The sequence below is a fragment of the Homo sapiens genome, chromosome 12, assembly GCF_000001405.40.
Source record: "Homo sapiens chromosome 12, GRCh38.p14 Primary Assembly".
NCBI lineage: Eukaryota > Metazoa > Chordata > Mammalia > Primates > Hominidae > Homo > Homo sapiens.
Window position 1 is genome coordinate 26,948,176 of NC_000012.12, and position 22,811 is coordinate 26,970,986.

Consider the following 22,811-nt stretch of genomic DNA (forward strand, 5'->3'; position numbering starts at 1 on the left):
TAATTCTTGTTTTTAAACATTAGACATTTAAAAGAACTAAGAGGAAAATAATTACCCAGATATTTACAATTTCAGTTGGTCTTCCTTTGTTCCTGATGTTCTAAGTTTCCTTCTGATAACACTTTGCTTCTAACTGAAGAGTATTCTTTATAATAAGTCTACTGGAAATAAGTTCTTCTTTCTCTTCAGCTGAGAATGACTTTTATTTCACCTTCATATATGAAACATATTTTTGCTGGATATAGAATTTTGGGTTGATAGGTCTGTTCTTTCAGCATTTTGAAAGTGTTGTTCTACTTTTTACTGGCCTTCATTTCTGTTGGGAAGCCTACAGTCATTCAAATTGTTCTCTATGAGTAATATGTCATTTTTCTCTGGCTGCTTTCAAGATTTTCTCTTTGTCTTTAGTTTTTGGAAATGTGACTACAACGTGTCTGGAGTTAGATCTTGTTGGAAACTCCTGCCTGGGGTTTCCTGAGGACTGGGAATGATGAAGACAAGGTTTCTTAGAAGGAAGCAAAGTGTTACATCATCGAAATGTATAAGTTTCAACTATTGAAGTTAAATATGTTTTTATATTATTGGATGACAAGTTAGAATGCGCTTGGGAGAATACACAAAATACAGTATTTTAGTCATTGTGAATATTGTGTCTTTTCGGTAGGGGACTCTTCTAAGGTATTCATAACGTAAACATACTAGAATATTTAAGAATATTGCCTGGCATGGTGGCATGCACCTATATAGTCTCAGCTACTCAGGAGACTGAAGTGGAGGGTCTTTGGAGTCCAGGAGTTCCAGCCTGGGTGATGGCAAGACCTCGCCTCTAAAAATAACTAAACTTAAAAAAATAATAATAAATATTTCTAAACCATGGAGAGAGGCAACTCCATAAAATCTTCTTAGAGATGTTCAGAAAGTTGTTCAGGAATGGTTTTAGTCGTTGATTCACCATTACAGTTTTTCTTTTTCATTTTGAGATGGAGTTTCGCTTTTGTTGCCCAGGCTAGAGTGCAATGGCGCGATCTCAGCTCACTGCAACCTCCACCTCCCAGGTACAAGCGATTCTCCTGTCTTGGCCTCCCAAGTAGCTCAGATTACAGGCTTGCACCACCACGCCCTGCTAATTTTTTTGTATTTAGTAGAGATGGGGTTTCATCATGTTAGGCTGGTCGCGAACTCCTGACCTCAGGTGATCCACCCACCTCAGCCTCCCAAAGTGCTGGGATTACAGGTGTGCACCACCACACCTGGCCTACAGTTTTTCCAGATTAATTTATTTACAAATGAAGCATGAATTAACCAGTATCCTATGCTATCCAAGGTAAGTTTTCCCATTCGTGTTTAATATTGTGGCCATTTTTTTCTACTTAAATGAAATGTTTCATGGAGTAGTATCTGTTTGAGGTTTTTTTTGTTTGAGACAGAGTTTTGCTCTTGTTGCCCAGGCTGGAGTGCAATGATGCGATCTTGGCTCGCTGCAACCTCTGCCTCCCGGGTTCAAGCGATTCTCCTGTCTCAGCTTCCCGAGTAGCTGGGATTACAGGCGCATGCCACCACACCCAGCTAATTTTTGTATTTTTAGTAGAGATGAGGTTTCATCATTATTGGTCAGGCTGGTCTCGAACTCCTGACCTCAGGTGATCCACCTGCCTCAGCCTCCCAAAGTACTGGGATTACAGGAGTGAGCCACCGTGCCTGGCCCTGTTTGAGGTGTTATGTGGTACTATCAAGTAGCCATTCTGATTATGTCAGTTTTTATCTTCATGGATCTTACAACTTGATGGTCACAATGGTTCTTTTGAAATTTGACAGGCCAAATTTTGTGTATCTATCATGGAGTCTTTTAACTTCTTCATGGGTTTATTTTACAGTTTCATATGAGGCTTTTGCATAAGGACATTTAGTCAAAGCATCCCGCTTATAGTAACGAACTTTAAGGTATTTCTATGGTATCTACAATATTGTTTCTACCTTTATGATAGCAGTTATATTAGGCAGCTACCATCAAGCCATCAAGTAGTTAATGTATTCGTTGTTTTTTTTTTTTTTTTTTTTTTTTTTGAGACAGAGTCCCGTTCTGTCACCCAGGCTGGAGGTGCAGTGGCACAATCTCGGCTCACTGCAAGCTCCGCCTCCCGGGTTCACGCTATTCTCCTGCCTCAGCCTCCTGCGTAGCTGAGACTACAGGCGCATGCCACTACGCCCGGCTAATTTTTTTTTTGTATTTTTAGTAGAGACGGAGTTTCACTGTGTTAGCCAGGATGGTCTCGATCTCCTGACCTCGTGATCCACCCGCCTCGGCCTCCCAAAGTGCTGGGATTACAGGCGTGAGCCACCGCACCTGCCCTGTATTCATTGTTTTTAAAAGGATATCTGAGAAACCTCTTTTCTTTGCAGCATTTCAGAGAAGTGGATTATTCTAAAAGCATATCACCTATTCATGTATATATTTACTTTCAGTAAGTTGCTCCATCTTAGTGGAGCACAGTTAAGTCATTTGATCAGTCTGGCTTCTGGTAAGAAATTGAATTTTATCACAGTGACTGATGTACCTGTTGCATATCAAGCCTGATACTGCTGATTTTTGTTTTTAAGATAAAACCCATTAACAAACAGTAAAGTCAGGATTTGGTACTAGAAAATTCAAAAGTTTTGTTTTGGACTTGAATACTTCTTGAGTTATGGAATCACAATCATGAGATTTTCCTTGCAGTAGGTAAAGGTTGCTGGATTAATACTGTTACACAGTGAATGGTAATATGAAAAAGAGAGAGTAGCAATATTTCATGATTACTCAAATGATAGAAATTTTGGATGGTTTCCTTTAGCAATAGGGATTTACTATGCATGGTAACATGAGGTTTAAAGACCTAGAATAACCTCTGAAGATGCTTTGATTAATTCAGTTGAGGTTTATAATTGCTCGGAGGCAGGGAAGCTAAACCTTAGCTGCTGAATTAAGGTATACGATTTTTTTTTTTTCTTTTTTTGAGATGCAGCCTCACTCTGAGGCCCAGGCTGGAGTGCAGTGGTGCTATGGCTCACTGCAACCTCTGCCTACTGGGTTTAAGTGATTCTCCTGCCTCAGCCTCCCAAATAGCTGGGATTACAGGCACCCCCCGACCAGGCCCGGCTAATTTTTGTATTTATTTATTTAGTTAGTTATTGAGACAGCCTGTTGCCCAGGCTGTAGTGCAGTGGTGCAATTTTGGCTCACTACAACCTCTGCCTCCCAAGTTCAAGCAATTCTCTTGCCTCAGCTTCCTGAGTAGCTGGTATCACAGGTGTGTGCCACCACGCCCAGCTAATTTTTGTATTTTTAGTAGAGACGGTGTTTCACCATGTTGGGCAGGCTGGTCTTGAACTCCTGAATTCAAGTGATCTGCCCTCCTCGACCTCCCAAAGTGCTGGGATTACAGGTGTGAGCCACTGCGCCCAGCCCAAGGTATACAATATAATAGACAGTGGGGTTTTGATGTCGTGTTGTTAATACTCCCAGGACACAGGGTACTATTTTTGTACTCAAAAAGATTTATGATTATGTAGGAAGACTATCTAGACTGAGGGCTATTTAGCTATCTGATCATATATAGGACCTTATTGCGTTTTATTTGGAAACAGATCCTGTCTATTGCATTTGTAGATGTTATGTTTTAGTGTGTAAAGAAGGGTTCTTCTTATAGTAGTCCCAACAATATCATTTACAGATTAGGACTGTTAGAGAGTTCTATTACTTGAGTTCTATTAAACCAAGGTAAACTTTATTTTCTCTCAAATCTTTTACAATTTGTTGTAGAGTTTCAAATTTGTCTTTTATTACTTTCACCATCTGTTATAAACTATTATTTTTACTATAAAACCAATTTTTTTGGTTATTTCATTTTTCTTAGTACAAGTCAGTGCCCGTCCTTTTTTTTTTTTTTTTTTTTAATTTTGCTTTACAGACAGCTTTAAAAGTTTACTCAGAAGGATCCGATGTTCTATAGTAATGGGATTAATGGGAGTTATAGTGATGTCCATTTAACCTATTTATGTTAACTTTCTTAACAAATAAGAAAGTTGTCTGTCTACAGTTTTAGATAATTTCCTTTGGAAATTTAGAGGAAGTACAGGGTATTGTTGGGCACTAATGCCTCTCTCAGAACGGCATCTTCGGATAGATTTTGGGTAGTTGTCCTTTTGGGTATTAGCCAGTATCAGACAATATTGGTTCCTTTAATGGCCCTTTTACTCCTCATATTTTCAAGCATCCTTATCTAAACCTCCTGAATCTTACAAGACAAATCTTGTGGTGGTTTTCTCTAGAGAGCCAGAAGTTATATTAATTTCCAGCTTGTTTACTTCTTAAGGCTCTCTGGAAATGTCTGATCATATATTGGACATTTTCTAAATTGGCGATTTAAATAACAGGAGAAAGTCTTCTGAAATTGCCTGATGTGTTTTATGAAATATTTTATACTGTTGAGTTATTTAAATTTTCTCTTTGCTACTTGTTGCTTTTTTTTTTTTTTTGTATTGGAGGGGATAATCATTAATTGGACTAGTTGGTACAGATCTGTAGTCCAGGGCAGTGGTATATAACAAAGTCCTGAATTCTGTGGCAAATTGCTGTTTTAATAAAGTTGATGAAAGTCTTTGTTTATAACCCTTCACTTGGATCTACACCAAATTTTAATTTAACTTCTGTAGACGTGGCTTCTGGCCTGGTAATTTAGTGTGATTTTATTTTTTGAGGAAACCCTGAAGAAAGGATGACTTATATTGAACGTTAGGTAAAACTTAGTAGAAAGATAAAAGATTTCAGCTGGGCACGGTGGCTCACACGTGTAATCCCAGCGCTTTGGGAGGCCAAGGCGGGCGGATCATGAGGTCAGGAGATCGAGACCATCCTGGCTAACACAGTGAAACCCCCGACTCTACTAAAAATACAAAAAAATGAGCCAGGCGTGGTGGCAGGTGCCTGTAGTCCCAGCTACTCGGGAGGCTGAGGCAGGAAAATGGCGTGAACCTGGGAGGTGGAGCTTGCAGTGAGCCGAGATCACGCCGCTGCACTCCAGCCAGCCTGGGCGACAGAGCGAGACTGTGTCTCCAAAAAAAAAAAAAAAAAAAAAGGAAGATAAAAGATTTCAAGGAGGGTAAGTGTAAGTTTCAGGAGAAACTTAAAGTTTTGGAAAGAGACTTTAAAATTATTAAAATTTTGTTTGAGGTTTCTACATACCAGTTGAAGAAGCTGACAATTGACTGTTTCATGTTTTGTCTCATATTTCTTTCAGCTACTCTTAAACATATTGCTTACTGATTTTAGCATATCAGAAGTTTCCTGTAATTACCAGTTTTGTCCTAAGTCAAAACTTTTTTTTGCACTTTAAGGAAGATGCAAGAGTTAGAATTATAATGCAACTTTATGTAAGAAGCAGAAGTTCTTCCAAGAAGAGGTTGAGACTTTAATGTAGCATGACACATTGAGGCCACTTCGGCTGGTCAGCAGTGTTTGTGAACAGTGTGTCAAGTCACCTGACCAAGCAGAGGTTAGGAAGCATTCTTACAGTCAAAGTTTTCAGACAGTCATTGACCCCAGAATACTGACCAGTAAACCAAATGATCTTCCTCAAAAGTGACAAGATAGGGAATGCCCTCATAAAGGGCAAATTTCTATATAACATTATATTCCTTGGACATGTACTTTTTTCCCCACTGTAAATTTAGAGTGTTTTAAATGCGTTCTAGTTCTGTCTGCAAATCTTTTAACTGTGTTCTAATTTTTTTGTAATAGTATAAATTTACTTTCAAGTTTGTAGTATCCTAACAGAAGCAAAACCACAGTGTTCTTAGGTGTTTTTTCCTCCCTGGACAGTGAACAATACTGTAACAAATGTGGCTTAAGAAGCATATCTGTGTTGACATGAAGCTAAAATAAAGAGATATGTTGACTTTATTTTGAGTCTTGATTTTAATTTTAATTATAGATATATCTTTAGAAATGAGTTGCACAATTGAGAAGGCACTTGCCGACGCTAAAGCTCTTGTTGAAAGATTAAGAGATCATGACGATGCAGCAGAATCTCTGATTGAGCAAACCACAGCTCTCAACAAGCGAGTAGAAGCCATGAAACAGGTTTGATTTTTCTTTCTTGTTCATTCCATTTATCAAAAGCAGTCATTGACATTTATGTATTGCTGGCTAATTAGTATCTAATTTTTTTCAACATTCTCTAAAATTTTAAAGTAGCTTGACTTGTGTGTTTCAGGTTTACTTTAATTTTGTCGTGTTCAGGTGATATACCTAGACATATATTTCTAAACCCTAGATTTGATCACTTATTTTGCTGACAGAGTTGCACATTTGAGTTTAGAAAATAAATGAATTTGTTAGGTCTAGAAACATTTGACAAAGACCAGATAATACCTTTTACTAATGTTGGTACACATTTTGTTCTGTCTTGTATAATGTAGAAATGTTCATATTTTTCTTTATAAAAGTACTTAGGTGATGCTGTTTAACAACAAAATAGCTTTTGAAAATGATGCAAGGTAATATGTGATTTATACTCTGTGCAGTTATTGTACCCATACTTGCTACCTTATTTTTCATTCAGTGCTACCAATTAAAGAATACATAAGGGCTTTCTTCTTGCTATTTTTACTATTGTATAACAGAATATTCCCATGGGCCACGGAGTTTAGACACTATTTTAACCTTCTTCTGATAAAAATTTTCAAGTCATTTAAGAAAATTATAAAATCTCTGACATTATGATGGAAATCAGAGGGGGAAAATGTATATTCACAGCCAAATCTCCTCATCTATTTTGTAAAAGGAAGCAATTCTGGGATAGTATTTTTAACAAAGCTACTGGAAATAGTGGAGCAAGTTTAGTTATTTGGTTTTACAACTGTGTTGCCCTAAACAGATTTACCTGCATCCCTAACCAACTGTCCAGCTAGACTCAGGCACTTCAGTGAACATATATCTGGTATTGAGTTGTTAAAAAAGGAGTTTGACATCTGAAGTTAAGAACCAGGAGTGTTATAATGAATATGTTACTAAGTGTCTCATGAGAATGCCTTGAAAATAAATAAGTGCAATTTTAAAATAAGATTCTCATTTTCTTAATGGAAAATCTTTTTGCATTTCTTTTGTACATGTTCTATTAAGATATTCACATACCATAAAATTTACTTTTTTGAAGGGTACAGTTCATTGGATTTTAGTACACATTTGCAGGTTATGCAGTATAACCACTACCTGATTCCAGAACATTTTCATCACCACAAAACCTTACATCCATCAGTGGTCTCTCTCTAGTTTCCCCTTTCCTCAGTCTCTGGCAACCACTAATATTTCTATCTCTTTGAATTTGCCTATTCTGGACATTTCATATAAATGGAATGATAAAATATGCGGCTTTTTGTGATTGGCTTCTTAACATAATGTTTTTAAGGTTCATCTATGTTATAGCATGTATCAGTACTTCATTCCTGTTTATTGCCAAATAATATTGCATTGTAAGGATACAGCACATTGTGCTTATCCATTCATCAGCTGATAGGCATTTGGATTATTTTACTTTTTTGGCTGGTAAGAATATGCTGCTATGAATATTTGTGTACAAGTTTCTGTGTGGACATATGTTTTCAGTTTTCTTGGGTATATATGTAGAAGTAGAATGGATGGGTCATATAATAACTCTGTTAAAATTTTTTGAGGATCTGCCACATTGTTTCCCAAAGCAGCTATGCCAAGCTTGTCCGACCTGTGACTTGCTGGCTGCATATGGCCCAGGATGGCTTTGATTGCGGCCCAGCACAAATTCACAAACTTTCTTAAAACATTATGAGATTTTTTTTTTTTAAAAAAAAGCTCATCAGCTATCGTTAGCATTAGTGTATTTTATGTGCAGCGTGATAATTCTTCTTCCGATGTGCCCAGGGAAGCCAAAAGATTGGACACCCCTGAACTACATCATTTTACATTCCATCAACAATGTATGGAAGGTTGCAGTTTCTTCACATCCTCTCCAACAATTGTTATTGTCTTTTTCATTACAGTCATCCTCGTGGGATATATTGAATTGCATTCTCCTAATGACTAGTTAGGTTAATTAAGTATCTTTTCATGTGCTTATTGGCCATTTGTATATCTTCTTTAGATAAATGTTTATTCAAATCCTTTGCCACTTTTAAAAATGGGGTTATTTTCATTTTATTGTTGAGTTGTAAGTGTTCTTTATATATTCTGGATACTAAGCTCTTATCAGATTTTTTATATGTATATTTCAGATATATTTATATTTATATATCATATATATATATATATATATATTTGCAGGTATTTTCATCCCACATGTTTTTCTCCCCCATTAGTATCAGGAAGAAATTCAAGAACTTAATGAAGTCGCGAGACATCGGCCACGGTCCACGTTAGTTATGGGAATCCAGCAAGAAAACAGACAAATCAGAGAGTTGCAACAAGAAAACAAAGGTAAGATACGTTACTTTTTGACATTAATCCCATTTCTAGTCTATATTCCTAAATCGTATTTATTGCTCTTTATCCTGTCCCACATATGAACATCTGCCTGGTTGACATCCTCTTAGATTCTCACCCTTAATATCCAGTTAGCACTGCTGTTGTTAGCTATGAAATAACCCAGCTTCATTCTCTGCAGTCCCACTGCATTGGCCCCCAGATTAGATGCTCAGTCTCTTGCCTGAAATGTCCAAACTGATCTCCCTGATTCCAGTCTCTCTTCCCCCTTCCAATCTGTCTTCAACATAACCATCAGATTGATATTTCAAAAATCAGTCTGATCATGTAATTCTTTTGCCTAAGAACTTTCATTATATACTTATTACCTTTTACAGGGTCCCTAAAAATCATTTCCCAGCCTTTTTTTTAAATCTTCTTCCCACAGCTTTCTTCACTGTGAACTCTTTGCTCTTGCCAACACCAATCACTTCCTAAACACGTCATCTGTTTTCATGCCTACCTGCTTAGAAGGTCCATTCCTTCACTTTTCAACTGAGGGAACTCACACTGTACTTCTACAAAGCTTCCACCAGTTTCTTCCCATAGACATCTCTTAAATCTATTTGACTTAACACTCCACTCTGCCACCTACCACATGCTTGTTTTCTCTACTAGACTCTTGAGGTCTGTGGCCCTTAATATAGAGGGAGCCTTGGCCGATATTAATTGCTGTTTAGTACATCTTTGTTGAAATGATTCTCAAGAAACAAGCTTAAAATATTCAAAAAACTAATACGGGACTTCATTTGGTGTCTCTTATTGTTATATGGCTAGATTTTTGTGCATTGTGTTTTCTTTTTAAAATGTCCCGTTCATAAGTTGCTTAGTGGAAGAGAATATTTTGTGTACTTTTAACTCAAGTTGGAATAAAATACAATATTATTCTTGATAGAATTACGTACATCTCTGGAAGAACATCAGTCGGCCTTGGAACTTATAATGAGCAAGTACCGAGAACAAATGTTTAGATTGCTAATGGCTAGCAAAAAAGATGATCCGGGTATAATAATGAAGTTAAAAGAGCAGCACTCCAAGGTAATCCATTCTATAAATGTGACCTGAAATGGAAAAGAGAGACGATTGATTATTCTGTGTTCAGATTTTTTTTGAAAAAAATCACAGGTATCTAGTAATGGCATTTTAACATGATGTTGAATGTTTCATCTTTTTAATTGACATTTTCTCCTTTTTCTTATTTTTCCATTTCTTGTTATATATCATTTTCTGTTTGATTTATAAACTCTCACTGTTTCTTAGAAACTTTAATTTGTACGTTGAAAAATAAATTTTATTTTGGATATAAAGGTAAGTCTGGTCTCTTCAACATTATTTTTGTAGGGCTATATACTTTTAAGAAATATTTCTTAAAGGGCTGGGCATGGTGGCTTACGCCTATAATCCCAGCACTTTGGGAGGCCAAGGCAGGAGGATCACTTGAGGCCAGAAGTTCAAGACCAGCCTGGGCAACATAGCATGACTCCATCTCTTCAAAAAGTAAAAAAATTAGCCGGGTGTGGTAGCACATGCCTGCAGTCCTAGCTTCTCAGGAGGCTGAGGTGGATAGACCACTTCAGCTCAGGAGTTTGAGGTTACATTGAGCTACGATCATGCCATTGCACTCCCATCTAGACAACCGAGTGAGACCCTGTCTCTTAAAAAACAGAAATTTTTTTAAGAAACATTTTTTCTAATAAATTTGTGTATTGACTTCTCTTGCAAAAACAAAAAATAATGGAAACCTTTTTTAAAATCTGAAAGCAGTTTAATGTAGATTTTTCTTAAGACTGTTTTCTGAATAAGGCTAATTCATCCAGACTATAAATGATCTTGTTTATTATAATGGAAAAAACATGGGGTTCAGGAGAAGAACCAACATAGTAAAATTTTGCTCCCTTGCCCCAGTATTGTATACCAGTTGACATCATTTTTTAGAAACAAAGCTGAAGTAGTTAGAAATTAGTGTTTTACCTGCTGTTCATCCCTTTGTCATCCCTGTGTCTATTCCCTTTGGTATGTCCCCATATTTTATGGCATATTTTATGGCAACTGCTATGAAGACAAGTAGAATAATCCTTTCTCACATATTTATTTTAAACTGAGTTTTAGTTGCTGATATGAAATAAAAATAATAAACTAGATTGTGGAAACTAGACTGTTACCTGTATTAGATAATGGTGAGCTGACTATTATTATTACCAATATTATTTAAGAAACAGTGATTATGAGCCTTCTTTTCCCCATTTGTTACAACAGAAATAGGAAAGGACATATTTTCATATTTATCTATTATTGAAACACATTTTAGATTCTTTAAAATACTTCTTCCATTTTGGTGCTTGTACGTGTTTTTAACTTATTAGTAATTAATTCTATTAGAATTAAATACCTATCAAATAGCTCTTTATATGCCTTTATTATATTAGAAAACCTAATGATAGGTACCTCTTGTGTCAACCAGTAAAATAATAAATTAAATTAAAAATTTGTGTTTAATGTTTTCTAATTATGCTATTCATCTCCTAATCAAATGGCAATCCAGGGATGTTTAAGTGGTGATCTTTTGAATACAAAATTTAACTATTGTTAATGAGACCATTCTAAAATCATTTAAATTTAAAGGTATAATAATAACTATAGTAACTAAGACTTTTTAAAGGCACTAAAAGGAGTTGACTTAATATTATTTGTAAGATAAATATAATCTTGAGAATTTCTAAAAGGTTTGTATGTTTTATAACCTAAAAATAAAATGTTAAAGATCTAAAGCGAAGAATACCATTACAAAAAAAGTGCTTAGAATAGGATAACTATAGCTTGCAGGTCCCATCTGGTAGCAACTATGACAGAAGCAAATGTTTCCTAAAATATATTAGATTTTACTATTCACCAGAGCTGGTTTATTAATTAGTAAGGTTAAACATTTCCTAAGATAGCTGTAAGCCATCCTTTTTTATTATGTAGATTGAATTCTTCATCTAAGTTCAGATGATCCTTGCCTCCCATAAAATGACTATTCAGTTATTTGTTATTAATTTTCACTAATACATATTAATGTTTGTGATTTTGATTTTTCCCAAAAAGGAGACACTTCGACTTAATTAAACAAACATTAATACTGGCACTGGGTTAGTTATGGGAAATAATAAGATGAATGTACAAGCTTGCAGTATAGTGGGAGATACAGACACAAACATAACAATCTACTATAAGGTAGGGCGTGATGAATCCCAAAGTAGATGAATTGTTACTGGAACGCTAGAGGGAACAATATTAACTGTCATAAGGAAAATCTGGAAAGGTAACAAGGAAGGGAAGAAAGTCTGTCTCAGTCCAGCCTTGAATTAATTATGGGCAGGTAGGTAAACAAGCAGAAGTGGGTGGGTGGGCAGAGAAACTTGTATAATAAAAGCACAAAAAGTATGGTATTGTAGGGTGTGTTTAGGTACTAGTGCTCTGATATGCCTAAACACAAAAGTAATTTTACAACACATTTAGAGCTAAGAAACAGAGTTACACATAACAGCATTTTGGATTGGAGTAAGAGATCCTTTTGAGACTGTTATAATACAGAACTTTGCCCTTAACTAGAAGTTTTTGAGCACATACTTAAAAAATCAGTAGAAAGTTTGAGAGCTCATTTTTACCCAAATACTAATTTTCATGTTATTTTTGAACAGATGCCTTTTTGGAAATCTTAAAAAAGCAAACATTTCAAACAGTTGGCTAACACGCATGAACTAACACTCATTCAGTTTTTAAATTACGGATGATATCCGTATTAACATTATAATGACTCTATACTACAGATTGACATGGTACATCGTAACAAGTCCGAAGGATTCTTCCTTGATGCATCTCGACACATCCTTGAAGCACCTCAACATGGACTGGAGAGAAGGCACTTGGAAGCAAATCAGAATGTACACTAAATAAACAGTCAACTTTTGGGGTGTGGATGGAAGGGGGGTCCATTTTAAAAGTGCTTTTACATTGAATTTCCCTCCCAGATTAGATCAGCAAATAAATGAAATTTATTAAAAGAATGTTGTGTCTTTAATAGCCATGCTGTTCAGTGTAGAAACTTTAAATCTCTCATTAATTTTCTGTGTATTGTATCATGTACAGCCTGTTAGATATTTGCAGGTTTTATAGGTTATTCAGTCCAACGCTTTATTTATTTGCTCTTGTTAGTTGTTGCTGTGAAACAGTCATTTCCTTTCTGGACATCAAAGATATTTTCTTGGCATTAATTTTAAACTGATTTCATAAGGTCAAAGTATTAAATGTTTTAATTCAGATTGTGGATAGTTTGTAGTCCTTTGATTTTGCAAATGAAATTAAAATGCCTTTGTTTAGATGTTAGGATTAAGTATAGTAGTGCTCTCTCCATTGTGTCTTAATTTTTTTTTAACTCACTTGTGGCAGGTCTTTATTGAATAAAGGAGGAATAAACCTAGACAGGGAGTTAGAAATGAAAGACATTTCAAGACAGTTCAAGGGTTATGTTGGTGACACTTCTTGTCTTCCAGACAGTTTTGAAAGCACAGATCTTGCCTCTTGTGCTTGTTAAAAAATCTGTGATACTTCTCTGAAGATTTTATAATTAAATAAGTGAACCATTACCATGACCTTTTATAAAAGTGCTGCCCTATTTGAAGTATTGGGTTTTTTCTCATGATGAGCTTTGTTAGACTTGGTACTGAAAAAATCAGTAGTTTTTTTCCTTCTATTTTAAAGGCAAAGAAATGCTTGCTTCAGCTAGGCATGGTGGCTCATGCCTGTAATTGGGAGGCTGAGGTGGGTGGATCACCTGACGTCAGGAATTGGAGACCAGCCTGGCCAACATGGTGAAACCCCATCTCTACTAAAAATACAAAAAGTTAGCCAGGCGTGATAGCGGGTGCCTGTAATCCCAGCTGCTCGGGAGGCTAAAGCAAGAGAATTGTTTGAACCTGGGAGTGGGAGGTTGCAGTGAGCCGAGGTCGTGCCATTGCACTCCAGCCTGGCCAACAAGAGCGAGACTCTGTCTAAAAAAAAAGAAATGCTTGCTTTCTGTGTAGTTTTTTAACTTAGGTCAGTGCCATAGGACTGACCAAATCATAAATTGAGGATGCTGTTGGTATTCAAAGTTTTTACTCATTACCCTTACTCAGTTTGCAGCTGCAATGATCTGTACTTAACCTGCTTTTACATATTATGCTTCCTTGACAATGGGAGGAATTTTAATGGTTAACTTGCAGAATATGACAGATACTTGTCTTAATATCATTCTTCCTACCATAATCTAATTCAAAACTATCCAGTAGAACTTTCTGAAATGATTGGAATGTTTTTTATCTGTGCTGTCCAGTGTGGAAGCCAGTAGCCACATGTGGCTGTTGAGCACTTGCAGTGTCACTAATGCGTTTGAGGGACTGAATTGTTAATTTTTAAAAATGTATTGATTTTAATTAAGTTTAACATTGTTTTGGACAGCACAGATTAGCCTTTTAGAGTACCTTCTTGCTGAGTACTAGCAGTGTATAGGTTTCCCCATGAAAAGGACCTACATTTTTGTTGGTTAAGAGGTTATTAAATGTGCTTTGCCAAAGATACTACCTTGTCATTTCTTCCAGCTTATTAGTTCCGTGGGTTTCTTGGAGTACTGTTAAATCCTTTTTACAAATATATATATACACAACTACTGAAGAGACTGTTTATTTGGGGAGTTATTCACTTTTATATTTAAGTCTTAGGCTTAATATGATAAAATACCTCTCAGTTGCTGTGAATAATGGTCTATAGAAGCTGTTCATTGAGAAAATGATTATTCTCGAGTTTCTGTTGATTTTAAACCTTTTTTGTCTGTCTCTTTCACTAGACTGTAAGCTTCTTCAGATCAGGGGACATGTCTTGACAGTCTTTGTATTCCTGTTGTTTAGCATAGTACTGGCACATCATAGGTGTGCAAGATAAGAAAATGAGATTGGAAGAATTTATGCTACTTGCTGCGCCTAACAAATGTGGATGTCTGTATTATACTGATACTATATTTTCAATAGTTAGCAAAGAAGGCCATTTAATATTTTAATACTGAAAAGCAGAATTGTGCTCATTTTATTCAATACTTACCATATACCATACACTAGATAGTAGGTGGATGTAAAGATGCAGTTCCTGCTCTCAAAGAGGATTATGACCTAGAAAAGGTTACAGATTGGATTGAGATAACTTTATAGGCCTGAACAATACAGAAAAGATTTCTAAATCATTGAAGACTTCAGGGAGGAAAAGAGATTGAATGCGTCGGCAATTTTTATCATTCCCGTTACTTTGAACAATAGTGTATGTAAGTGCAAAAAAAAAGAAAAAGTTGCTGATCATTGTGGTGAGAGGAATGTAAAATATGAGTATTTTTCTTGCTGCTAGGTTTAGTTATATTGTGCTGCTTATTCTTAATTCTAGTCCTAACAAATTTGATTTCAAAAGCACATCTGTGGTCAACCAACTTCATTGTTAATATTTGTTTTATTCATATTAAGTGACAATGTAAGAATATTCATGTTAAGTGGTACTGCAGATTTTATAAAAAGGAGAGGATCCAAAAATAAAAAAGTATTTTGCTGATTTCCAACTCCCATCCCTCTTTTTCAGGAACTGCAAGCACATGTTGACCAGATAACTGAAATGGCAGCAGTAATGAGGAAAGCCATTGAAATTGACGAGCAACAGGGTTGCAAGGAACAAGAACGAATATTTCAACTTGAAGTAAGTTTTACATTGCAAATGTAGATGAAAACTGTCCATATAAAGATTTATGCCAGAAAATATATCCCATTTTTAAATATATATTTACTCTTCTTGGGTACTGGTAATGTTCTCCTGGATGCTGTCTATGTGGGCATATTATGCAAGACCATTTATGTGGTGATGCAAGAATCTAGGATTATTAGTAACTTACAATATACCAGTAATGTAGAAAATTGATGTTTCATTCTATATTGCTTATCTTATGAAGTGAATGTACTTCTTCAATTGAGTCATTTTTAAAATTTTGTTTATTCTATTAGAGATCATAGTGATACAGGGAAATTTTTTTTAATCCACAAATATTTAGGGGCACTCTTATTTTTCTGGGGATTCTAAAAACCTTTGTCATCTGTCCTTTATTTTATGACAGTGAAAGTACCAGTCTCTGAATAACTGAAATCAGTACAATAGACTTTTATGCCTTAAGAGCTTCATTTTGAAATCACGGCGGGGAACCTGCTTTAGACTACTAAAATTTAGAAAGTGAGACTGAAGATAAAGTGATAGAGAACAAATTATGAAAGGTTATTGTTAAATGTCTACAAATTTTTTTACAGTAACTAACCAAAAGGAGGCCAGAAAGCAAAGTTATTTACCAGTGCCAGATTTGGTCACTTACTTTCCTTCTTGAAAAATATCATCAGCTACCCCTACCCTGCTGCTCTCAAATGCCAATGAGCTAAACTTGTCCTACATTCCATGCTATCATGGAAAGTAATAAAAATACTAAAAATTACTAGGAGATTCTAGCCTATTCACTGGCTTTACGAGTTTATATAAAAATAAATCTAGATGTTATTTTCTTCATCTCTAATGTGATTGTAAAATAAGGCAATTTCTGAGCTTCTGTTTACAATTATAGCTGCTTAAGTAAGAAGGCTTTGCAGTGGTGGAAGATGTTGAACACGATTCCTAGCTGCATAAGTGTTCTTTAGATTCAAGTTGCCAACTGCATATATCATTGAGTAGATTAATGCCAATTACAGACCTTGCTTGTTTGTTATACCTTCATATGTTCAGTTTTTCCTAACATATGTTTGTGATGTTGTAGCTACCTTGTAGATAGTGACTGCATCTTTGTTTTTGCTTGCCTTTTAGCAAGAAAACAAAGGCTTGAGAGAGATCCTTCAAATAACTCGAGAATCATTTTTGAACCTAAGGAAAGATGATGCGTCGGAAAGTACTTCTTTGTCAGCATTAGTGACCAACAGTGATTTGAGTCTGAGGAAGAGCTGAAGAGTTTCTGAGTCTGTGAGCTTCTTACATGGCTCCAAATGGTCAAATAAGTGAATGAATGAATGGACAGAAAATTCAATCCTTTATTTTTTTCTCTGTAAATATGTACAGTGCACGGGCTATGAGATAGCAACAAAAAATGCATAGTTAATGGTCATAGACTTTATTCCAAAACATAATTGGAAAATAGAAACTGAGCCATTGCCAAATGGTAAAGAAATGAAAAGTTTTCACAGTGACTACTGAATATACCAAGAGCTTTTGGCAGTACTGCTGGCTTTCTGGGTGATTAATTAGGTAAACTTGAATATTCCCAGTAAATGTTTGAGAATGCATAAAATTATACCAATTTAAAAATATAAATTTTTGCCACTGTTTTGTGAACGGAGGATTTGTACGCTAAATTTCATCCTTATTTGGCGTCAAAGTTGATGCAAAGTTTATGTACCATGAGACTTCTAGTGATTGCCTACTTTCACATTTATTTAAATTTTTGTGAAAGAAAATACAGTTTTAAAGGCTATAGGAATGTGTTATATGTACCTTAAACAGATAATTTAATTTTAGCAATTTATCATAACTGATACTTAGCTAACAATTGTCCATAACTTGTTTAAGTGTAAGAAATACCATTTCAGGAATGAAAAAGAAGGAATACTACTTTCTAAGAAAGAAGATCTTATAATAGACATATTTAGTAGGTTAAACTACTCCTTTGAAAGAATAAGTTTTGGTTCAAAGTCAATAATGAAGACGAGATTTGTTTTTCTCTTCTCTGGCTGATTTTTAAGGATATTATGTAGTTCATTTAGTTAACAGAATTGAAATGTTTGATATGGCAAGATAGGTATGGTAATTTCAAAGTGAATTGGGAATTCCTCTGGCTCATAGAACCCTTTTTTTTTTCCTTTAAGTATTCTTGAGATACAAAAAAAAAAAGTAAATACAATTTCAAAAAAAAAGTTCCGGATCTGTTTTTAAGCTCCATCTGGTCCTCATAACCTGCAAGATTTTTCTTAAAACCTTTCAGCTGAAAGTGGGGGTAAAGGTGGAGTAATCTGTGGATTTGTTTCTGTTGTCTTTTAAAATGTCAAATATATAATATGTAATTTTTTTAAAAACCACCAGATACAGAAATGTGCTTTAACATCAGTTGAAACCTAAATTTTCTTATGTTGTGGTGATTGTATTAAAAAGGGATAAAAGAAGAGTGTCAAACATGGTTAAATATATTGTACTCATTTATGTTGAATACGTATTAAAATTAAGACAAATGGAAAATTATACTTTGAGTATATAATTTGTTAAATATTACTTTATATGGTAATTTTATGTATAATTTCATATATTGGTAAAATTCAAAACTACACTTGAGAATTTTTTTATCTTAAGTTTGGGGTGAATGGGGTGGATGAGACTGATTGAATAGAAAAGGGCTAATGGCCCAAACATTATATAGATTTCTTTTTTTCAGTCAGAGGCCTTATTTGATATTTTATAAATAAATGACAGTTTTTATTTTTAAACTTTTTATTGTTTTTGGGAAAGTATTCCTTAATTTAATGACACATTCATTCAGATACTTCTTATCCCTGCTAATAAAGGAAATCTATTTCAAGCTACACCATTGAGATTAAGTCTGAGGCAGTTCATTGAGGCAGCTCTACTATAAAAGCTTACTTGATAAATAATTATTTTTGTAAACAAGTTGGGTTAACTTATTCTTCGTCTTTTTGCTTGGATATGAATTTAAGGTCTTCATGTTTAAAGACATTTACTTTGTTATTTAGTGACACATTTCCATCCTATTTTTTTTTTTTTTTTGGTTGTTGTTAAACAGAACCTTAAGTTTATGTTTGAGGTATGTACTGCATAGGAACCTATTTTATTATTAAAGATGAATGATTAAAATTGGTATGGTCTCCAATTTAATTTGAAAAGTGCTTACCCTTATTCTTATATATGGTTTAATTTTAAGGTTTTTTGTCTCTTCTTAGTGCAAAACTACTTAGCAGTGACCTCTATCTGTATTCCTTAGGAATTAGCAGCTTCTTAGTGTGGATCCTGCAGAACTTCTTACCATTTGTAGTAGGTTGAATCATGTCCCCTAGAAGGTAAGTCTAAGTCCTAACTTGATACACCTGGGAAGGTGACCATATTTGGAAATAGTCTTTACAGATGTGATTAGGGGATCTCAGGATATAATTACCCTGGATTTTGGGTGGGCTCCAAACCCAGTGACTAGTGTCGTTACAATAAGAGAGGAGGAGATATGAAACACAGATATAGCAGCATGAGGACAGAGGCAATGAGTTACGCAAGGACTGCTAGCCACCACCAGAAGCTGCAAGAGAGGCATGGAATGGGTTCTTCACGGGCTCCAGAAAGGACCAAGCCTGCTTGATTTCAGACTTCTGGCCTCCAGAACTGTGAGGAAATAAATTTCTGTTGTTTTCATTCACCCAGCCTGTGGTAATTTGTTAGAGTAACCCTAGGAAACTAAGACATCTATTGTTTTTCATCTATCAACTATATTTTTATTTTATATAAGAAAGTTCTTAAAAACCAATTTATAACCTCACAATTTCTGCTCTAATTTTATATTCTTTAATATCAAGGTGACTTCTAAAATTTTATAGAAATAAATTGCTTCCCTGTAATCCCAGCACTTTGGGAGGCCGAAACAGGTGGATCAGTTGAGGTCAGGAGTTCAAGACCAGCCTAGCCAACATGGTAAACCCTGTCTCTACTAAAAATACAAAAAGTTAGCCAGGGATGGTGGTGGGTGCCTGTAATCTCAGCTACTTGGGAGGCCGAGGCAGGAGAATCGCTTGAACCTGGGAAGCAGAGGTTGCAGTGAGCCGAGATCTCACCATTGCACTCCAGCCTGGGCAATAATAGTGAAACTCCATCTCAAAAAAAAAAAAAAAATTGCTTCAATGAAAAATGGACAATCGTAGATCCATAATTTTGGTGGTCACTACCTTTTTTCATTGTCAGAGTGAAATAGGAGAACATTTTTTAGTAAAATACTGATGAAGATGATAATTTCTAATTGGAATTTGAGGAGACACTTTTTCCTTTAACCTCTCTGGCTGCTCCTCAGTCTCCTTTGTTTCTTCTCGCTGACCTCTTAACATTAGAGAGCCACTGGGCTTAGTCCTTATACCTATTCTGTGCAGTGTCTCTACTCACTGGTGATCTCACCCAGTCTCATGACTAAATACCACCTCTATGCTTGATGGCTCCTAAATTCACAGTTCCAGCATAGACCTCTCACCCCGGATTCATGCAGCTGTGACTGTCAAAGAGAAATTTTATGCTTAAGATGTCCAAAGCCAAACTCCAAACCTCCCAGAACGCCTCCATACTCTTTCCCATCCTGCTTGATGACAACTCCATCCTTGCAGTTGCTAAGGCCAAAAACCTTGGTGGCAACTTTGACTCCACTTTCTCATATCGTGCATCCTATTCATCAGCAAATCCTGTTGTTGGCTCTTCCTTCCAAATAAATCAGAATCCTACCATTTCTCTCCTCCACTGCTACCCCTGGTCAAAGCTACATTATGGTAGTGTTAAAGTATACAAATTGGATTCAACCTAAATATCCTACAGTAGGGGAATAGTTAAATGTCAATATTCACTCAATACAGTTGATTACAGTCTATGGCTTGAAGATGCTAGCAACAAGAAGAAAAAAGTACCTAAATATGCATTAAAAAGCTTAACATAAATTACCCATATAATTACAAATATGTAAAAATCAGATGCATACGGGGAAATGTCCTGAAGCAAACAGCATCAGTATTCTTCCAGCTAATTGTACTGTTTGCATTAGCCAGTCAGTTTCTGATGCCTGTAAATCAAGCATTTTTGTAGCTACCATTATGGAGTTGTAATTTATTCATCAGTTCCCCCAACTGATGGATAGTTTGCAAAGTTTAATACAAAATAATGCAGTAAACATCCATATACATAACTTTATTTATTGTAATTTCTAGCGTGCAAATTCCCAGAAGTTTGTTAGGTCATGTTTTGTTATTTTTTAAATGAAAAAATAAATGTACACTGTTAAAAATCTTAGCATACTAAAAAATTTACAATTCAGAGTAAACCTCTTCCTACAACCTCTGTCTTTCCAGAGGTCATTATAAGTTTCTTGTGAATCAGAAAACCTGTTAACCAAAAAAAGTGACTGAGGCAAGTGTCTTAAATCAGTAGAGGTTTATTGGGCCAAAGTTTAAAGACATGCCAGAGAAAAAACGCAAGCCACATGAGCATCTGTGACCTGAGCTTTCTAAAGAGGGTTTTGGAAACTCATTATTTAGGGGAGAGAGTGAGGAGGGAAAAGGGAGAGGGGTTAGGCAGTGAGGCAAATGATTACATTCTTGTGAGGCTCTGATTAACGCTCAGTAAATCTATGTTTCATATAAGATAAACTGAAAAAAGGGAGTAAAGACTCAGTTATTCATCTGTTTCAGGGTAGGCAGAAGAGTGGTTGATTTTGTCTCATCCTTATTCTGTACCTGGGAAGATAAGCTTGTTATCAGCATTGTCAGTGTGAGATTTAACAAAACTTGGTTTTAAGAGTTAAACTTAGGTTGCAGACCCAAGGTTACAATTGGCATGTGTTGGTTTTACAGCTCTCTACAATGAGAAGGGGAGGCCTTGAGGCTTCTGTTAATAATACTCCCCTTCCTACACATGACATACTTGGTTTTGGCTACTCCTACTCAACCTCCAAGTTTCAGCTGGAATGTCACTTCCTCAAGGACTCCTTCCTTGGCATCCCACTTTCTAGCCCTATCCCATTATACATTTTCATTGCATATTACACATCTTGTGTAACTATTTTAGTATCTGTCTCACACTCCAGTCCCAGACAGCAAAGACCATGCCTGTGTTTTCCATCTTCCTAGTGCTCAAGGCAATGCCTGGCCAGGAACTCAACAAATATTTAATGAGTGAATGTGAGATCTAAGTCAAAGCCTCACTATCATATATATATAATTTTTATTTTTTTGAGACAGTGTCTTGCTTTGTCGCCTAGGCTGGAGTGCAATAGTGCGATCTCAGTTCACTGCAGCCTCCGCCCCCCGGGTTCAAGTGATTCTTCCTCCTCAGCCTCCCAAGTAGCTGACAGGTATGTGCCATCATGCCCGGCTCGTTATTTTTATTTTTTAGTAGAGACGGGGTTTCACCATGTTGGCCAGGCTGGTCTTGAACTCCTGACTTCAAGTGATCTGCCCACCTTGGCCTCTCAAAGTGCTGGGATTACAGGCGTGAGCCACCACGCCACTCCTGTATAACAATTTTTTAAAAAATCTTAAGCTTGATCCAGACCTGCCAACCTCTCCAGTGTAATGATTACATGGTAGTCCCTGGGTAAGTCCAGAGTTCCCACTAACTTAAGCCCCTCTTTGTGTCAATTTCATAAAGAGTGGTCCTTGCAAATACAATGGCCAAATTGCCAAGAGGCATTTCAATCAACAGTCAGGGTAATGTGTATTCTTTTGACATAACAGAATACCACTGACTGAATGGCTTAAACAACAGAAATAATTTCTCACAGTTCTGGAGGCTGAAGTCCATGATCAAGGTGCAGCAGGGATGGTTTCCTCTGCTTGCAGATGCTCCCCTCTTACTGCTCTTCACACGGTCTTTCCCCTGTGAGCACATGCACCTGGTGTTTCTGTGTCCTAATCTCCCCTTCTTACAAAGACACTGGTCAGACTGGATTAGGACCCACCCTAATAGTCTCAATTTAATTTGAAACCTCTTTAAAGGCCCCGTCTCCAAATAAGGTCACATTCTGAGGTACCGGGTGTTAGGGCTTCAACATATAAATTTGTTTGGGGGGCACAGTTTAGTCTATCAGCAAACCATAGGTAGCTGCCCTCCCAACAAGGGCTGGGATGCAATGAGGGGCTGTGCCCTAGGGCAAGGCCCTGTTCTCAGGAAATTAGAACCAAGAACTCTGGGTTTGAATGAATGTTACTAACAGGTATTAAGTACATCACCTAGGAGTGAACTTCGGACCAAGTTTCTATTGTGGAGATATGGATATTGGAAATGTTAAATATTATGTACCAATCATTTGAAATAAATGGTCCATTACTTCAGATAATTAACTTGGAAAAACATGCTTTCACTGTGTAAAATTAATAATTTTCAAAAAGAACGATCGTAGCAATACTTATATTAGAAACATCCTATCAATTCGTTAGCAGAAGAAAATAGAAAATACCTGGTT

At 36.0% G+C, this 22,811-nt stretch overlaps 1 protein-coding gene across 3 annotated transcripts in view; it reads left to right on the plus strand.

Moving 5' to 3' along the window:
* The window catches only part of FGFR1OP2 (FGFR1 oncogene partner 2), a 28,179-nt gene extending 9,706 nt beyond the window's left edge, over positions 1-18,473 (plus strand). Inside the window, exons 2-7 of one of the 3 annotated variants that reach the window (NM_015633.3) lie at positions 5,970-6,118; positions 8,368-8,485; positions 9,426-9,568; positions 12,340-12,453; positions 15,167-15,280; positions 16,421-18,473. In NM_015633.3, coding sequence (NP_056448.1) covers positions 5,984-6,118; positions 8,368-8,485; positions 9,426-9,568; positions 12,340-12,453; positions 15,167-15,280; positions 16,421-16,558 — 762 coding nt within the window. In that variant the 5' untranslated portion in view covers positions 5,970-5,983 and the 3' untranslated portion in view covers positions 16,559-18,473. Of the gene's footprint in view, positions 1-5,969; positions 6,119-8,367; positions 8,486-9,425; positions 9,569-12,339; positions 12,577-15,166; positions 15,281-16,420 lie in introns of those variants that run through there. The other 2 variants (NM_001171887.2, NM_001171888.2) reach the window with 2 other exon arrangements.
* The last annotated feature ends 4,338 nt before the right edge of the window (positions 18,474-22,811 follow it).